This window comes from Homo sapiens, chromosome 3, assembly GCF_000001405.40.
Source record: "Homo sapiens chromosome 3, GRCh38.p14 Primary Assembly".
In the NCBI taxonomy this organism is placed as follows: Eukaryota; Metazoa; Chordata; class Mammalia; order Primates; family Hominidae; genus Homo; species Homo sapiens.
In genome coordinates this window covers 56,560,181-56,577,178 of record NC_000003.12, presented here as the reverse complement: position 1 = coordinate 56,577,178, position 16,998 = coordinate 56,560,181, and the positions used below count along the sequence as shown (strand labels likewise).

The 16,998-nt window shown below is 38.8% G+C and overlaps 1 protein-coding gene across 40 annotated transcripts in view; it reads right to left on the bottom strand.

The window, feature by feature from the left end:
* The window catches only part of CCDC66 (coiled-coil domain containing 66), a 64,682-nt gene that overhangs the window by 44,659 nt on the left and 3,025 nt on the right, over nt 1-16,998 (bottom strand). For 17 of the 40 annotated variants that reach the window (NR_148367.1, NR_148366.1, NR_148368.1 and 14 more), the window contains 4 exons: nt 13,054-13,495; nt 10,420-10,585; nt 10,126-10,229; nt 5,877-5,998 (listed from right to left, as the gene is read on the bottom strand). Coding sequence is in view for 25 of the 40 variants with exons in the window: in XM_011533616.4 (XP_011531918.1) it covers nt 5,877-5,998; nt 10,126-10,229; nt 10,420-10,585; nt 13,054-13,495 (834 nt within the window). In the remaining 15 variants the exon portion in view is untranslated. Of the gene's footprint in view, nt 1-4,750; nt 4,843-5,654; nt 5,753-5,876; nt 5,999-10,125; nt 10,230-10,419; nt 10,586-11,974; nt 12,046-13,053; nt 13,496-16,166; nt 16,318-16,998 lie in introns of those variants that run through there. The other 23 variants (NR_148369.1, NR_148376.1, XM_005265082.5 and 20 more) reach the window with 12 other exon arrangements.

Below are 16,998 nucleotides of genomic sequence, written 5' to 3'. Positions count from 1 at the left end.
ATCATCACTGGCCATCAGAGAAATGCAAATCAAAACCACAATGAGATACCATCTCACAGCAGTTAGAATAGTGATCATTAAAAAATCAGGGAACAACAGGTGCTAGAGAGGATGTGGAGAAATAGGAACACTTTTACACTGTTAGTGGGACTACATGCTAGTTCAGCCATTGTAGAAGACAGTGTGGCAATTCCTCAAGGATCTAGAACTAGAAATACTATTTGACCCAGCCATCCCATTACTGGGTATATACCCAAAGGATTATAAATCATGCTGCTATGAAGACACATGCATACGTATGTTTACTGCGGCACTATTCACAATAGCAAAGACTTGGAACCAACCCAAATGTCCATCAATGATAGACTGGATTAATACACATACACCATGGAATACTATGCACATATACACCATGCAATACTCTGCAGCCATAAAAAAGATGAGTTCATGTCCTTTGTAGGGACATGGATGAAGCTGGAAACCATCATTCTAAGCAAACTATTGCAAGGAGAGAAAACCAAACATTGCATGTTCTCACTTATAGGTGGGAACTAAACAATGAGAACACTTGGACACAGGGTGGGGAACATCACACATCGGGGCTTGTCGTGGGGTGGGGGGAGGGAGGAGGGATAGCATTAGGAGGTATATCTAATGTAAATGACGAGTTAATGGGTGCAGCACACCAACATGACACATGTATACATATGTAACAAACCTGCATGTTGTGCACATTTACCCCAGAACTTAAAGTATAATAATAAAAAAAAAAATTCCATGTACAATGGCATAAAATTTTTTTTAAAAATCCCATGTACAATGGCATCAAAAAGAAAAAATACTTAGGAATAAACTTAACCAAAACAATAAAAAGAAAAATATATAAAAAAACAAAAAAAATTTAAAAAATTAAAAAGAAAAACTTAACCAAGGAGGAGTAAGACTTGTACACTGAAAACTACAAAACATTGCTGAAAAAAAATTAAAGACACAAATAAATGGAAAGATATCCTGCATTCATTAATTGGAAGACTTAATATTATTGAGATATTAATATTACCCAAAGCAATCTACAGTTTCAATGCAATCTCTATGAAAATATCAATAATCTTTTTTTTTTGCAGAAATAGAAAAATCCATCCTAAAATTCATATGGAATCTCAAGGGACCACGAATAGACAAAACAATCTTAAAAAAGAAGAAAGTTGGAAGGGTCATAGTTCCTGATGGTGAGGCAGTAGCATACAGACAGACTAATGGAATAGAGGAGACCAGAAATAAATCCTCACATACACAGTGAAATAGTTATGGACAAGGGAGCCAACACCATTCAATGGGGAAAGGACATTCTTCAACAATGGTGCTAGGAAAAACTAGATGTCCACATGCAAAAGAATAAAGTAGGGCCCTGACCTTATACCATATAGAAAACTTAATTCAAAATAGATCAAAGACCTAAACATAAGAGCTAGAACTAGAAAACTCTTAGAAGAAAATACAGTCCGATGATCAGACTTGGCAATGATTTCTTTGATAGGACATTAAAAACACAGGCAACAAAAGAAAAGAGATAAAACAGACTTCATCAAAATTAAAGACTTTTGTGCATCAAAGGACACTATTATCAAGAGAGTGAAAAAGTAGCTCACAGAATGGGAGAAAACAGTTGTGAATCATGTATCTGACAAGGGATTATCATACAAAATATATAACTCCTACAACTCAACAACAAAAAAACCCCCAAAAAACCTGACTGAAATGGGCAAAGGATCTCAATAGACATTTCTTCAAATACATGCAAATAGTCAATAAGCCTGTGGGAAAATGTTCCACATCACTAATCATTGGGAAGTGCAAATGAAAACCACAATGATACCATTTCACAACCATTGGGATGGATACTGTCAATAAATCAGAAAGTAAGTGTTGGTGAGGATGTGAAGAAATTGGAACACAGTGCACTGCTGATGGAAATATACATGGTACAGCTGCTGTGGAAAGCAGTTTAACACAAAATTTAACACAAAATAGTTTAACACAAAATTACAAAATTAAAATTGGTAAAAATTTAACATAAAAATTAAACAAAAAATTACCACACAATCCTGCAATTCCAATTCTGAGTACACACCCAAAAGAATTGAAGCAGGAACTCAAAAAGATTATTTATACACCAATGTTCATAGCAGCATTATTCCCAATAGCCAAAAGGTAGAAACAATCCAAATTTCTATCCATGGATTAATGGATAAAGAAAACATGGTATATACATACAATAGGATGTTATTTAGCATTAAAAAGAAATGAAATTCTGACACATGCTACAGTATGGGTAAACCTTGAGGACATTATGCTAAGTGAAATAAGCCAGTTAGAGGCTGAGACAGGAGAATCACTTGAACCCAGGAGTTCAAGGCTGGAGTGCAACATGACTGTGCCTGTTCAGCCTGGGTAACAAAGTGAGACCCCAACTCTTTAAATTATAAGTAGAACAAAACTTTGTTAGCATTTGTTCTATTGTCAGTCACTATTCTAAGCACTTCATATGCATTACCTCATGTTTTAACACTCAAGGCTTTGGTGACTGCCTACAACCAAACTTCTTTCCCTCCCAATTATATGGAGAGACTAACTAGATATTCAAATAGTATAAATAGTTGTGGCTACAGCTGGGATTTCTGAAAACAACTGCTCTAAGGTATTTGAGAAGAGGGCTTTTTTGTTACACAGCAAATTCCTTTTCCCTCAATAACATCTCTCCAATTTTGTACCACATTCGCATACAAATACATAAAAACTGATTTTTTTTTTTTTTTTGAGACAGAGTCTTGCTCTGTCGCCCAGGCTGGAGTGCAGTGGCACGATCTCAGCTCACTGCAACCTCCACCTCCCAGGTTCAAGCAATTCTCCTGCCTCAGCCTCCCAAATAGCTGGGACTACAGGCACGTGCCACCATGTCCAGCTAATTTTTGTATTTTTAGCAGAGATGGGGTTTCACCACGTTGGCTGGGATGGTCTCAATCTCATGACCTCGTGATCCGCCCACCTCGGCCTCCCAAAGTGCTGGAATTACAGGCATGAGCCACTGCACCCAGCGAAAACTGCATTTAAATAGTAAAAAAAATGAGCCAATAATCATACTCTTTTAACTCTTGGTTGTCCAGTCCTGGATATAGCATGTGTTTCGTTTTCTAGTCCTTCTCCCATCATCAACCCCCACAACTTTTGATTCCAAAAATTTTTTAAATAACTTTATTGTTTTTTTTTAGTTATTTAAAAAAAGATACACATGAGGAATAAAAGTAAAATTCTAAGTCCCCCAACCAACTGAATGGATCTCTTGGCCAAGGACCCCAAAGTGCCTTGAAAACTGAGTTCTTGGCCATGAGTGGATGGGGAAATCAGACACACCACATTATACCTCCTCCCTCCCTGGCTAACCACTATTTAGCCTAAGGGCTAAACAGAAACCAGCCCTTCAGAAGATGTCAGCACTGATACCAACCAACCACCTGATGCTTCTGTCCAAAAGGTTTTTGTGTCCTCTGCTTTACTTTTTGATGTCAGAGGGCTGAAAACTCTACCCTTGGATCATGCTAACGCTGACATTTTTTGTACATGGGACCCATGAAGGGGCATAAAACTCAATTGTGCATGGATGTTTCTCCTTTCATAAATATTCATGACTCCTTCTATGCTTATTAAATACGTATATTCAGCCACTTCACTCAGCATAAATTCCTGTTCCCTTCCCCAACACCTTGAAGTTTCTGGCTCCTGGTTGGCCGAAGGCTATGCTTCCCAGCCTGTCAGAATGGCCATGCTGCAGGTTGCAACTGCTGATGAGAAATAAAGTTCTCCTTTCCAAATTCATGAGCCTCGTCATTTCATCAACTGACAAATACTATCATTAAAAAATATATACAAAATATTTTAAAACCTAAATGTCACCTCAAATGGTTCTTTACTTGCATTAACAATCATGGTATGGATTATCCCCAGATAATAAATGACCTAAAAAGCCATGCAAATTAAGAAATAAATTATATATTGACATTTCAACTGAAAATTTGGCAACTGAAATTATTTAACATTTTTAGTATTACAGATTTTTTATCCTGATGTTGAAAAGTAAATAAGCCAACAACGGATCCTCACCAACTTCATGAAAACTTAGTTTTAGCTACAACTTTTAACGGTGTCTGCATACAACTTCTAAACTTTACACACTTAAAATTATCACCCAGAGCTACAGAATTTTCCAAAATGAGTTCTACCAAGACAACCTTATTGCCTTTTCAGTCAATGTGCTTTTGGGATTGTGGGCAAATGCAATTCAGATTTCATTCCTTTTGTTAATGTAAAATTATCAACAGACAACAAAAGTATTCAATGTAGGCAAGTCAGCTCTACATGAAGCAGAACAGACAGCCATGCACAAAATTTAACTTGAAGGGTTTCTATAAGAAATTTACCTAATTAGGCCATAGTGCCAAAAATTTCTACCACCAGAATCATCTCTTTAGGAGAATCATCCCTTCAGGTTACTACATTATTTTCAGAATACATTTGCTAAAATGTAAATGTTCACAAGGAGGAAGGGATAGCAAATGAAGCATAATACACTCAAGTAAAAATTAACTGATAACTAAAAATAAGGAGGACTTAGATTCTCTCCTTCAAGGAAAATAGGTTAGAGGTCAAATACTAAAAGGTTTAAATATCCAAAGTACTGACACTTAGGACTTACCTCTAAAGTCTGACTAGCTCTAAGTTGTGAATGCCCCATCAGCTTGGACCACCATAACCTGGCTACGAGACTGTGATAGAATGCTTGAAGAGCTAGCAGAAGTGTAAAAATAAATAGAAAAACAGTGACACTGTTTCTTTACCCAAAATTAACCACAGATAAAATTTAAAAATCACAAAAGCACTACACAAGACACACTTGGCATATGTGTATATTTGATAACTAAACACTTACACATAGTGGCAGAGTTTTGTATTCATTTCAAAAATTGCACAGCTCCTTTATAAGACTCTAAAGGGAGCCTCTACATTCACCTAACGACATAACGAGACAACTCACAGAATGTAAATAGAGACCAGTTAAGGTCATAATTAAATTAAAAATAACACTGTTTTAAAATACCATATGAGCCAGGCCCAGTGGCTCACACCTACAATCCCAGCTACTCAGGAGGCCAAGGTGGGAGGATCGCTTGAGGTCAGAAGTTTGACACCAGCCTGAGCAACACAGTGAGACCCTGTCTCTAAAAAAAATTTTTTTTAATTAGCTGGGCATGGTGGAGTACACCTGTAGTACCAGCCATTTGGGAGGCAGAGGCAGGAGGATCCCTTCAGTCCAGAAGTTCAAGGCTGCAGGGAATTATGTTTTCACCACTGCATACCTGCCTGAGCAACAGAGCAAGACCCTGTTTCTTTTTTTAAAAAAAACACACATACAAAAAACCCAAAAATATGACAAGTTTTTTTAAATAGGCTGGGCACGGTGGCTCATGCCTGTAATCCCAGCACTTTGGGAGGTCAAGGCTGGCAGATCACATGAGGCCAGGAGTTCGAGACCATCCTGAGTGGTGAAATACCATCTCTATTAAGAATACAAAAAATTAGCTGGCCATGGTGGTGAGTACCTGTAGTCCTAGCTACTCGGGAGGCTGAGGCAGGAGAATCGCTTGAGCCTGGGAGGGGTAGGTTGCAGTGAGCTGAGACTGTGCCACTGCATTCCAGCCTGGGCAACAAGAGAGAAACTCCGTCTCAAAAAAAAAACTTTTTTTTTTTAATAAGCTTTAAAAATAAATTCTATAATATGAACACTGCTTAGTATTTTAAAAATTGCAATTAAGATGTCTTACCCTAGATTGGTCAAGAATTTGATGTTTTTCCCATATTATTTTATCACTTTCAGATTTTTTCCAAGGATCATTCCATTTTTCAGAAACTTCTTTTTCTTTCTTCTTTAAAGCAACCTGTTCATCTGTAAATAATGTCCTTTTTAAAAAAATGTACAAAAACTGTAAAAACAGAACCATGTAAACAAATCTGACCTTCTTAATGCAGATACCAACACAGATCTAATCAAAACTCTTTTTTAGGAAGGAGATTAACTCACAAAGTGGAGAATAATTTTTTAGGGACACAGAATAAGAAAAAATTTAATCAGAACCAAAGTTAAGTATGGTACAATTTTATTATCACAATTACCAATAAGGAGCAGTTTTATTGGAATAACTTATTTTATACTTTGTCAATTATCACGAGGTTCTAGTTTCCTGTAATGTTCATTCAATTATTATTAAGAGAATTAAAAGCTAGAATTCTGAAGTAGAGAACTATGGGTTAAAATTCAAGTTCAACAACTTCCCAGCTACGTGACTGTTAGCAAACTGCTGGTAAGCTTTTTTTTTTTTTAATATAGAGTCTCATTCTGTCAGCAGCCTGGAGTGCAATGGCGCTATCTCAGCTCACTGCAATCTCCGCCTCCCAGGTTCAAGCGATTCCCCTGCCTCAGCCTCCTGAGTAGCTGGGGCTACAGGCAGCACCACCACGCCCGGCTAATTTTTGTATTTTAGTGGAGATGTGGTTTCACCATGTTGGCTAGGATGGTCTCTATTTCCTGACCTTGTGATCCACCTGCCTCGGCCTCCCAACGTGGTAGGATTACAGGCATGAGCCCACCGCAGTTGGCCAACTGCTGGTAAGCTTTCTAAGCCTTGGTTTCTTCTATAAAATGGGGATAATAATAGTGCCTATCTCAATATAGGGCTTGGCACAAAGTAAATATTCAATGAATGTTAGCTATTATTTCTTAATTGCTGACAAGTAAAAAACATAAAAGCCTGTGTCTGAGAGATATAGTCAAAACTAACCCCCCAATCAACAGTAGTTCTTTAAATACAAAATTCAATGTTGTATAAATTTAAATTCCAAGAATGTTACTGGAAGCATGACTTAAATAGAGGCACTTTACTGAGACAAGTTAAAAAAACAGTAAACTGATTTTTAAAATAATTAAAGCATAAGGCCAGGTGTGGTGGCTCACAACTGTAATCACAGCACTTCGGGAGGCCAAGGCAGGCGGATCACCTGAGGTTAGGAGTTTGAGACCAGCCTGGCCAACATGGTGAAACCCTGTCTCTACTAAAGATACAAAAAGTAAGTTGGGCATGGTGGCAGGTGCCTGTAATCCCAGCTACTCAGGAGGCTGAGGCAGGAGAATCACTTGAACCCAGCAAGCAGAGGTTGCAGTGAGCTGAGATGGTGCCATTGCACTCCAGCTTGGGCAACAAGAATGAAACTCCGTCTCAAAACAACAACAACAACAAAAATGATTAAAGCACAAAATATTCTGGTCATTTCCAAGTAGTTCCATATTATTTCAGACATTTGGTATTGCATTTTGATGTGGAATGTGCTGAAAGAAAATATTTAAAGATGAAATTGTGATATAAACACACATCAAGACCGCCAAACCTTCTGATACTGCTAACATAAGTTTAATCTCTTCATTCTTCTTTTACCTTGATGATACAGTTTGGATATTTGTCCCCTTCAAATCTCATGTTGAAATGTGATTCCCCAGTGTTGGAGGTGGGGCCTAAGGGGAGGTGTTTGGGTCACAGGAGATGAATCCCTCATGAATGGCTTGGTGCCATCCCCTTGGGATGATGCTTGAGTTCTCCCTCTGTCAGTTCACATGAGAGCTGGTTGTGTAAAAGAGCCTGGCATCTCTCTTGCCATGTAAAATGCCTGCTCCCCCTTTGCCTTCCACCGTGAGTAAAAGCTTCCTGAGGCCTCACCAGAAGCCGAGGAGATGCTGGTACCATGCTTGTACAGTCTGCAAAACTGTGGGCCAAATAAACCTCTTTTATCAATTATTCAGTCTCAGGTATTCCTTTATAGCAACACAAAACAGACTAACACACTTGACTTCCAGCATCAATTCACTCCTTATTTCTGCTGCTTCTCTCTGTTTTTTTGTAGAGATAGGGTCTCACTCTGTTGCTCCAGCAGGCTGATGTTGAACCCCTGGCCTCAAGCAATCCTCCCATCTTGGCCTTCCAAAGTGCTGGGATTACATGTGAGCCACTCAGCTGGTCTTGCTTATCTCTTTTTCTAAATCATCTATCCCAGCCAAGTTAGTGATGGCCTCACAAGACTTTCTTGTTTTTCAACTAGGGTGAAGCCCATCTCATGCCTTTAGCATAGCTATTCCTAAGAAATACAACTGTTACGTCACATGTTTTGCAGATTGTGATACGCAGACTCCAAGTTTAGTCGAAGAAGTAATGGATATTTCTTAGTCACTAACGAAATTTCAAGACTCTAACAGAAATTATAGATTTTTCTGTTATAAGGTCCAAAGCTGAAAGAAAGCAATAAGCTTATTTCTGTCTAGAATACATACTGTCTGATACAACAATGATTCTTCTTCATTAGAATGTTTTGGTTATTTAAAAAAGTGAAATCAATTAGTTTTTAGTAAAACCATCCTTAAACGCATAGGATGTCTGCTATCAAAAATTATAAAAAAGGATTTCCAGGAAATGGGAAAAGTTTACAAATCTTTGACCTTACAAGGGCTGCAGAATGTACTGATGACATTAATGTTTTTGGTGCACACTTCAGAGTAACAAAAAGACACGACCTAAGGCATTATGAAACCACTAAGTTTCTTAAGCATTTGTAGAGAACTACTCTAGATGTCAAATATTATAAAATACGACTTTTGATAATATCATACTAAAAGATATACAGTAGGCCCTCCATATCCATGGATTCCACATGAGCATCTGTGCATTTTGGCACCCTGAAGTGGGAAGACTATCCTTGAACCAGTCTCTCATGGATACTGAGGGATAACTATACTTTAAAGGGAACTACAGTGTTTTACCCCAAAATGTATTAATTTGACACATTTCAAGATGGCTGTTCAGAGGGCCTACAAACAGAAGTAGCCTTGCAAAGCTGTCTTTTGTGGGGAAGATTTGCATCTGTAGAGAAAATCTGCAATGACGCAGCCAGGCTTTCTCTGAGGATTCTCCCCTGTCCAGATCTAGGATAAATTAACCGAGTCTGACACCTTTAAAGGTCTGAAGGAAACATTTGTCATCTGTTCTCTGAAGGCTACTACCTTTGAGGTCTCATGTACATAATAAAACCACTTTTGGCCGGGCGTGGTGGCTCACGCCTGTAATCCTAGCACTTTGGGAGGCCGAGGCAGGTGGATCATGAGGTCAGGAGATCAAGACCATCCTGGCTAACACAGTGAAACCCCGTCTCTACTAAAAATACAAAAAAATTAGCCGGGCGTGGTAGTGGGTGCCTGTAGTCCCAGCTACTGGGGAGGCTGAGGCAGAATGGCGTGAACCCGGGAGGTGGAGCTTGCAGTGAGCCGAGATCACACCACTGTACTCCAGCCTGGGCAACACAGCGAGACCCCATCTCAAAAAACAAAACAAAACAAAACAAAAAAACACTTTTACTGGCCAGGTTGCCTCTCCTCCCCCTCCCATAATCTGTTTTGCCATGCTCCAACCCCTATTGTTTCTGTAACCTCAACATGGTGGACAAGTGTCAGCCATCTGGCCATTTATTTTAGTTTTTATATTTTGTAAAACTTCCATGCATGTTAATAAATTTGTATGCCTTTTATTAATTTGCCTTTTGTCAGTTGATCTTTCAGAAAACCTCCAGAGGGCAAAGGGGACGTTTTCCCTTGGCCCCTAAACTTCATCCTCAATACATATTCTTTTTTATTTATTTATTTGAGATGGAGTCTTGCTCGGTAGCCCAGCTGGAGTGCAGTGGCACGATCTTGGCTCACTGCAACCTCTGCCTCCCAGGTTCAAGCAATTCTCCTGCCTCAGCCTCCCGAGTAGCTGGGATTACAGGCGTGCACCACCACGCCCAGCTAATTTTTATATTTTTAGTAGAGATGGGATTTCACCATGTTGGCCAGGATGGTCTTGATCTCTTGCCCTCCTGATCCACCCACCTCGGCTTCCCAAAGTGCTGGTATTACAGGTGTGAGCCACCGTGCCCGGCTTCAATACATATTCTTTAAGCCAATAAAACTATAATAAAGGTATAAAAGTTACCTACCTAGCTCTTTCCTCCACTGGGCTTTTTTTGCTTCCAACGAACTTCTATCACATTCCCTTTCCCCCAGAGTACTGAATATATCAGCTGGTTTCCATTCATTCTCTCTAAGGTAAAACACAAAAGATAACAGAAACTGTATCATACATTTCTACACAACTGACTCCATAAATATTAAGTAATAAGCTTTTAAATAGCTCTAAGTATTCAGAGTAACTATTTCACATGCAAGTAAAGGAAAAGCAAAACCATATTCTGAAGATGACCACACAATAACAACAGATAGGAGTTACATACATGGCAATTTTTTGCTCACACTGTTTAGATGTCTCCTGATGTTCATTTAAGACAGATTTATTTTCAGCTGGGACAGATGAAACCATTTCAGTTTTTTTGAATAATCCCATAATGTTCTCATCCTTTGGCTGATTAGAAATACTGTTTAAATATAGACTATATTGACCTAGGAGGTAAAATACATGTTTTAAAATTAACACTAAATTACATCTGTTATAATACTTGGCATAGTGCTATACAGTTCTTACATGTCTTACACGTTACTTAAATTAACTCTCAAAACAATCCTTGAGGTAGCCATTAAGTTTCCCTTCCTGTCAAAAAGAAAAAAAGGAAGCAGGGAGTGGTGGCTCACACCTGTAGTCCCAGAACTTTGGAAGGCTGACGTGGGCAGATTGCTTAAGCTCAGGAGTTCGAGATCAGCCTGGGCAACATGACAAAACCTCGTCTCTACAAAAATTACAAAAATTAGGTAGGTGTGGTGGCACGTGCCTGTAGTCCTAGCTATTTGGGACACTGAGGTGGGAGGATGGGTTGAGCCCAAGAGGTGGAGGTTTCAGTGAGCTGAGATTGTGCCACTGCACTCTGCACTCCAGTCTGGGCCAGATGTCGTCTCAAAAAAACAAAACAAAACAAAACAAAACAAAACAAAGGAAACTGAAGCCCAGAGGTTAAATGGCTTGCTCATGACCATAGCCATACAATTTCTTATATCAAATAAGGAAAACAAGCGAGCAACAACAGAAAACAAATCTCCATTTCCTCTTGCCAGCATGCTTTTAAAAATAAAAACTGGCCAGGCACGGTGGCTCACGCCTGTAATCCCAGCACTTTGGGAGGCCAAGGTGGGCGGATCACGAGGTCAGGAGATCGAGACCATCCTGGCGAACACGGTGAAACCCCGTCTCTACTAAAAATACAAAACATTAGCCGGGCGTGGTGGCGGGCGCCTGTAGTCCCAGGTACTTGGGAGGCTGAGGCAGGAGAATGGCGTGAACCTGGGAGGCGGAGCTTGCAGTGAGCCGAGATCGCACCACTGCACTCCAGCCTGGGCGATGCAGCGAGACTCCAGCCTGGGCGACGCAGCGAGACTCCAGCCTGGGCAACGGAGCGAGACTCCATCTAAAAAAATAATAATAATAAATAAAAAATAAAAATAAAAATTATATGGCTGGGTGTGGTGGCTCATGCCTGTAATCCCAGCACTTTAGGAGGCTGAGGCAGGCGGATCATGAGGTCAGGAGACTGAGATCATCCTGGCTAACACGGTGAAACCCCGTCTCTACTAAAAATACAAAAAAAAGAAAAAAAAAAAAAAGTTAGCCGGGTGTGGTGGCATGCGCCTGTAGTCCCAGCTACTCGGGAGGCTGAGGCAGGAGAATGGTGTGAACCCGGGAGGCAGAGCTTGCAGTGAGCCAAGATCGTGCCACTGCACTCCAGCCTGGGTGACAAAGCGAGACCCCATCTCAAAAAATAAATAAATAAATAAAATAAAAATTATAACACAAATCACAACCTAAAGGGGAATACAAATATCTTGATAAATACTCATTACCTTGACGTTATTTTTCTTATTTAGCTGTGAAATCAGTGGAAAACCTTTTCATGAATTGTCTCTATGCCCAGCTATAATATCAAAATCAGATGTTTTAGAGGGCTCACAGGATGGCTCAAAAAATGTTCTGATTTCTTTTGAATGTGCTAGTTCTCCCAGTGAAGAGAAAGAAATCATGAAAGTCTACGTGATTAGGCAAATTCTGCTTTTAACTTTGTTGATATGATTTCTCGTTATGCCTAATAAGCAGGTTGTTGCTAGAATTTTAGCCTTAAAGACAAAATCCAGCTCCCTCATTTTACCAAGAATAATCTATAACAAGAGAGTAAATAATTCCATCTTGAGTATCACGGGAATATTCAGGAGTTAATGGGTCCCCAAACCATTTGTGGGGCCTCTCCATGTGAACTGTTAATTTTTTATTTATTTCACTATTGCCTAATAAAATTTTAGATATTTCTATTGTCTTCATATTCGCAATTCCTTATCCCAAAGTGGAAATTAGAAGGCTTTTAAAAACACAATACAATGCCAGGACTTGTGAAAGACAAAGCATGTAACACTCTACTGTTCCTTCCAAATCTGTGTTAACCTTGTTTTTTAAAAAAAGTACTGCCATTTCTTAGCATGGAATGAGGAACAGGAAGAGTAAATGCTGTGGCCAGGAAAGCAATGTTTTTCAGTAACTCAAGTCAAATAGTCATAGTAAGGTTTCCTTAATTTTCACTGGAAATACCGTAATTTGTTTTTAAACAATGTTTCATATAACTATTTTAAATATGAGTAAAGCCTCCTATATTCTAAAATAAGTATAATAATAGTTTTTTGTACTAACATTTTTTCTAAAATCCACAGAAACTAGGTTTCTTAATATTCTGAACACTAACCTTAAAATATGGCACAACTATAAAAATAATTTTGCATATTAGAGAAAGTCCTCTAAAAGAACAATTATTTTAATAGATTGACAGGTTAAATTAGAGTTTAAGAGTCACAGTTACATAAAACCCAATGAATCTGATATTCTAAAACACATATTGAAAAAATCAAAATTCATGAAAACTTTAGAAAAATCTTACTTTTTGCCTCCTTTCCATTCTCAGTCAGGGAAAGAGATCTATTTCCTTGGTTTACAGTCATCAAAATCTGTTGTAGTTGGTCTTGTGTTAGACACACCAAACTGCTCTTCATGTTTTCAGCTGTGATGTGTTTTTTGTGAGGCTTCTGTTTACCTACTAGAGATGTATTTACGGTGTTTCTAGTCTTCTGCATATTAGGGGTTGCAGGTGAAATCTCTTTCTGGATATGAAGACAGTCTTTATCTATACATTGTTTACATAAATCCTTAGTGGATGAAAAAGTCATTCCATTTTTTTCACCTTTTGCCTGTGATGTTTCTGAACCAACTGGCTTCTTTTGCAAAAGTTTTTCACTCCCAATACAAGTATCTTGTGTTGATTTTAGAATGTGCCCAGTTTTTGTTCTTAAAGGACATTTTGCAATCTTGGCCTTATTTCCCATCTGTTAAAACACCAGAAGCTTATTCTTTATAACTGTCCAAGAAAAATCACCAATTATCTTTATATGATCTGTGATAAATCAGTCCTCTAAACTTTTTTCCATTTTGCTATTTAGGTAATATAACCATAAGAAACTAACTCTTAATACTTGCAAATCTTCATCAACAACTAGAAATTATCTTACTTCAGGAACTTTTATTATAGTTGTTATAGGACATCTCCACTATACTCCAGCTTTGAATCTTATGTCATTAGATTATACCACCTACATTATCTCTTTTTTTTTTTTTTCAATTAAAAAAATTTTTTTAACTACTTTTTTTTGACACAGCATTTCACTCTGTTGCCCAGGCTGGAGTGCAACAGCACGATCTCAGCTCACTGCAACCTCCACCTCCCCGGTTGAAGCAATTCTCCTGCCTCAGCCACCTGAGTAGCTGGGATTACAGGTGCCCACCACCAAGCCTGGCTAGTTTTTGTATTTTTAGTAGGGACGGGGTTTCACCATGTTAGCCGGGCTGGTCTCGAACTCCTGACCTCAGGTGATCCACCTGCCTTGGCCTCCCAAAGAGCTGGGATTACAGGCGTGAGCCACCAAGCCCAGCCATTTTTTATTATTATAAAGACAATGTTCAATGGATTTGTTTAATATCAGCTCACTTCACAATTTATATGGGGCCAGGATCCCAAGGCCAGAACAAATCAGAGAAAAGTAACATTTTTAAATATAAAATGTGGGCCAGGGTGCAATGGCTCATGCCTGTAATCCCAGCACTTTGGGAGGCCGAGGTGGGTGGATTGCCTGAGGTCAGGAGTTCAAGGCCAGCCTGGCCAACAAGGTAAAACACCATCTCTACTAAAAAAAAAAAATACAAAAAATTAGCTGGGCGTGGTGGTGGGCTCCTGTAATCCCAGCTACTCGAGGGGCTGAGGCAAGAGAATCGCTTGAACCCAGAAGGCAGAGGTTGCAGTGAACCGAGATCGTGCCACTGCACTCCAGCCTGGGCAACAACAACGAAACTTCATCTCTAAAACAAACAAAATATATATATATAAAATGTGCTACCTAGCACTAATATTACAAATACCTTTTAGTATGTCACTGATTCTCACGTGCAGAGGTACTCATAAAAATTTTTTTATTGTTTTATAGTTCAACTAATCTTTGAGACTATTTTAAGTGTAAGAGTTTTAGAATCCATTATTTTAATAAATTACTTATGATACTGTATTATCTGTATTTTCCCATTTCTCTTCCTATAAACCTAAGAAATTAGGAAAGTAACCAAGTTTACTTCATTACCACAGATTGAAGAAAAATAAAAATGTAGGAGAGGCTGGGCACAGTGGCTCACACCTATAATCCTAGCACTCTGGGAGGCTGAGGCGGAAGGATCGCTTGAGCCCAGGAGTTTGAGACAAGCCTGGGCAACACAGGAAGACTCCCGTCTGTACAAAAAATTTTAAACAATTAACTGAGCCTGGTGGTGTGGGCACGCGCCTGTAGTCCTAGCTACTTGGGAGGCTGAGGCAGGAGGATCCCTTGAGCCCAGGAGGTCGAGGCTGCAGTGAGCCATAATTGTCCCACTGCACTCCAGCCTGGACAAAGAGAGAGAGCCTGCCTCAAAAAAGAAAAAAAAAAAGAAAAGAAAAATGCACAGATTTTGATAGAATTAGGAAAGCACTTTGACCACATATATGTTAAACTTGATGATAATGAGATAGAGTTCAGCTGTGTTTAAAGAACAAACTATGGAGATTACAATAATTCAACCAGTGGGAAATGGGGGAAAAAAAAAGAGACCTGTAGGTGTTGTAGTAACTCAGGAGCTTACCCCATTAGAAGGAATAAAGAAAAGCACTATGCAGAGATAATTCATGAATAACTTGCAGAAAAGAGAATTCAACATCTAGTGGCAGAACTGTGAAATTTGGGAAACTAAAAAACAAAACAAAAAAGGAAGAAAATACTACTGATTTTGGTGTTTATAGTCTGTGAAGAGCAAAAAAGAAATGAGGAGGATCTCTGTAACCTCTATCAATATGGGAAGAGAAACTTCTTGAAAACAATCAATACAGAAGGGAAACTTAGGTTGCATCAGTATTTTGAAGTCCCAAATGCAATGGGGATAAACCCAAACAATTTGCTTTAAGGCAGTAAACAATTTAGGCTCAACATCAGTTGAGAACACAGTAGTTACTCTTAAAAAAAAAATTCTAAAACACCTTTAGATAGCTGATAGAATTTTATGATTAAAAGTCTAGTAATCAAAAGTCCAAGACTAGTAACTTTATTATAGGCCTACCAAAAATCCAAGACCAGTAATTCTGTTTATTATAGGCCTATAAAGGGGATCTTCAGATGTTCTGAGTTGGTTAAAATGACAATAAAATGTCTTCACAAATGTGGCTTCTATAACAAATCAGCCTGGAGAAGATAAAAATCAACCATTACAAACAGCTTTTCATCTAGGAACTTGATAAAGGCCACTGTATTTGTGAATGTGTTTCAAATAACAGCAGTTAGTTGCAATTTTTAATAGGGAAAGGGGTAGGAATAACATACAATCTGTAGTCTGTGATTGGGGAGCATACATGGTATATAACTATATGATAGAGAAAGAGAAACAATTTTTATATGTAGTTTGTGGAATTGTTCTGATCATCTTCACCTATTTATTGAGTGATATTTCGGGTACTCCAGCAACTTCTTCACCTTAATTAAACCTGCAAGTAAAGCCATCAAGGGCTTAGAGTTGAAGGATAAAGTGGTACATCATCCAAACTGGGTTCTATCCACAGACAAGCAAAGACTTTAAGACACTGCAAAGATAAAAGGGGGCTGTAGTAAGTTATGGAAGAGAAGAGAAATTCCTACTGATATTAATCTAAAAATTAAAAAAGAAATAGGTAGCAAGAAGAGTAGAAGTATCAAAACAGTTGGCTTTTTTTGCTTTTGTTTTTTGAGAAGGAATTTCGCTCTGTCCCCCAGGCTGGAGTGCAGTGGTGCGATCTCGGCTCACTACAACCTCCATCTCCAGGGTTCAAGTGATTCTTCTGCCTCAGCCTCCTAAGTAGCTGGGACTAGCGCCACCACATCTAATTTTTGTATTTTTCATAAAGATGGGGTTTCACCATGTTGGCCAGGCTGGCCTTGAACTCCTGACCTCAGGTGATCCACCCACCTTGGCCTCCCAAAGTGCTGGGATTACAGGCATGAGCCACCATGCCCAACCTCAAAAAAATTTTTTAAATGGTAATTCCAGCCTATGCAACATAGTGAGATCCCATCTCTACTAAAAATAAAAAAAATTAGCTGGGCATGGTGGCTCATGCACACGGTCCCAGCTACTCAGGAGGCTGGAGGAGGAAGATCTGCAGCCATGATTATGCCACTACACTCCAACCTGGGTGACAAGAGTGAGACTCTGCCTCAAAAATTAAAATAAACAAAGTGATAATGTATTTTGTAGAAAAAAGCACAATAGATTTCTGATAAGGGAA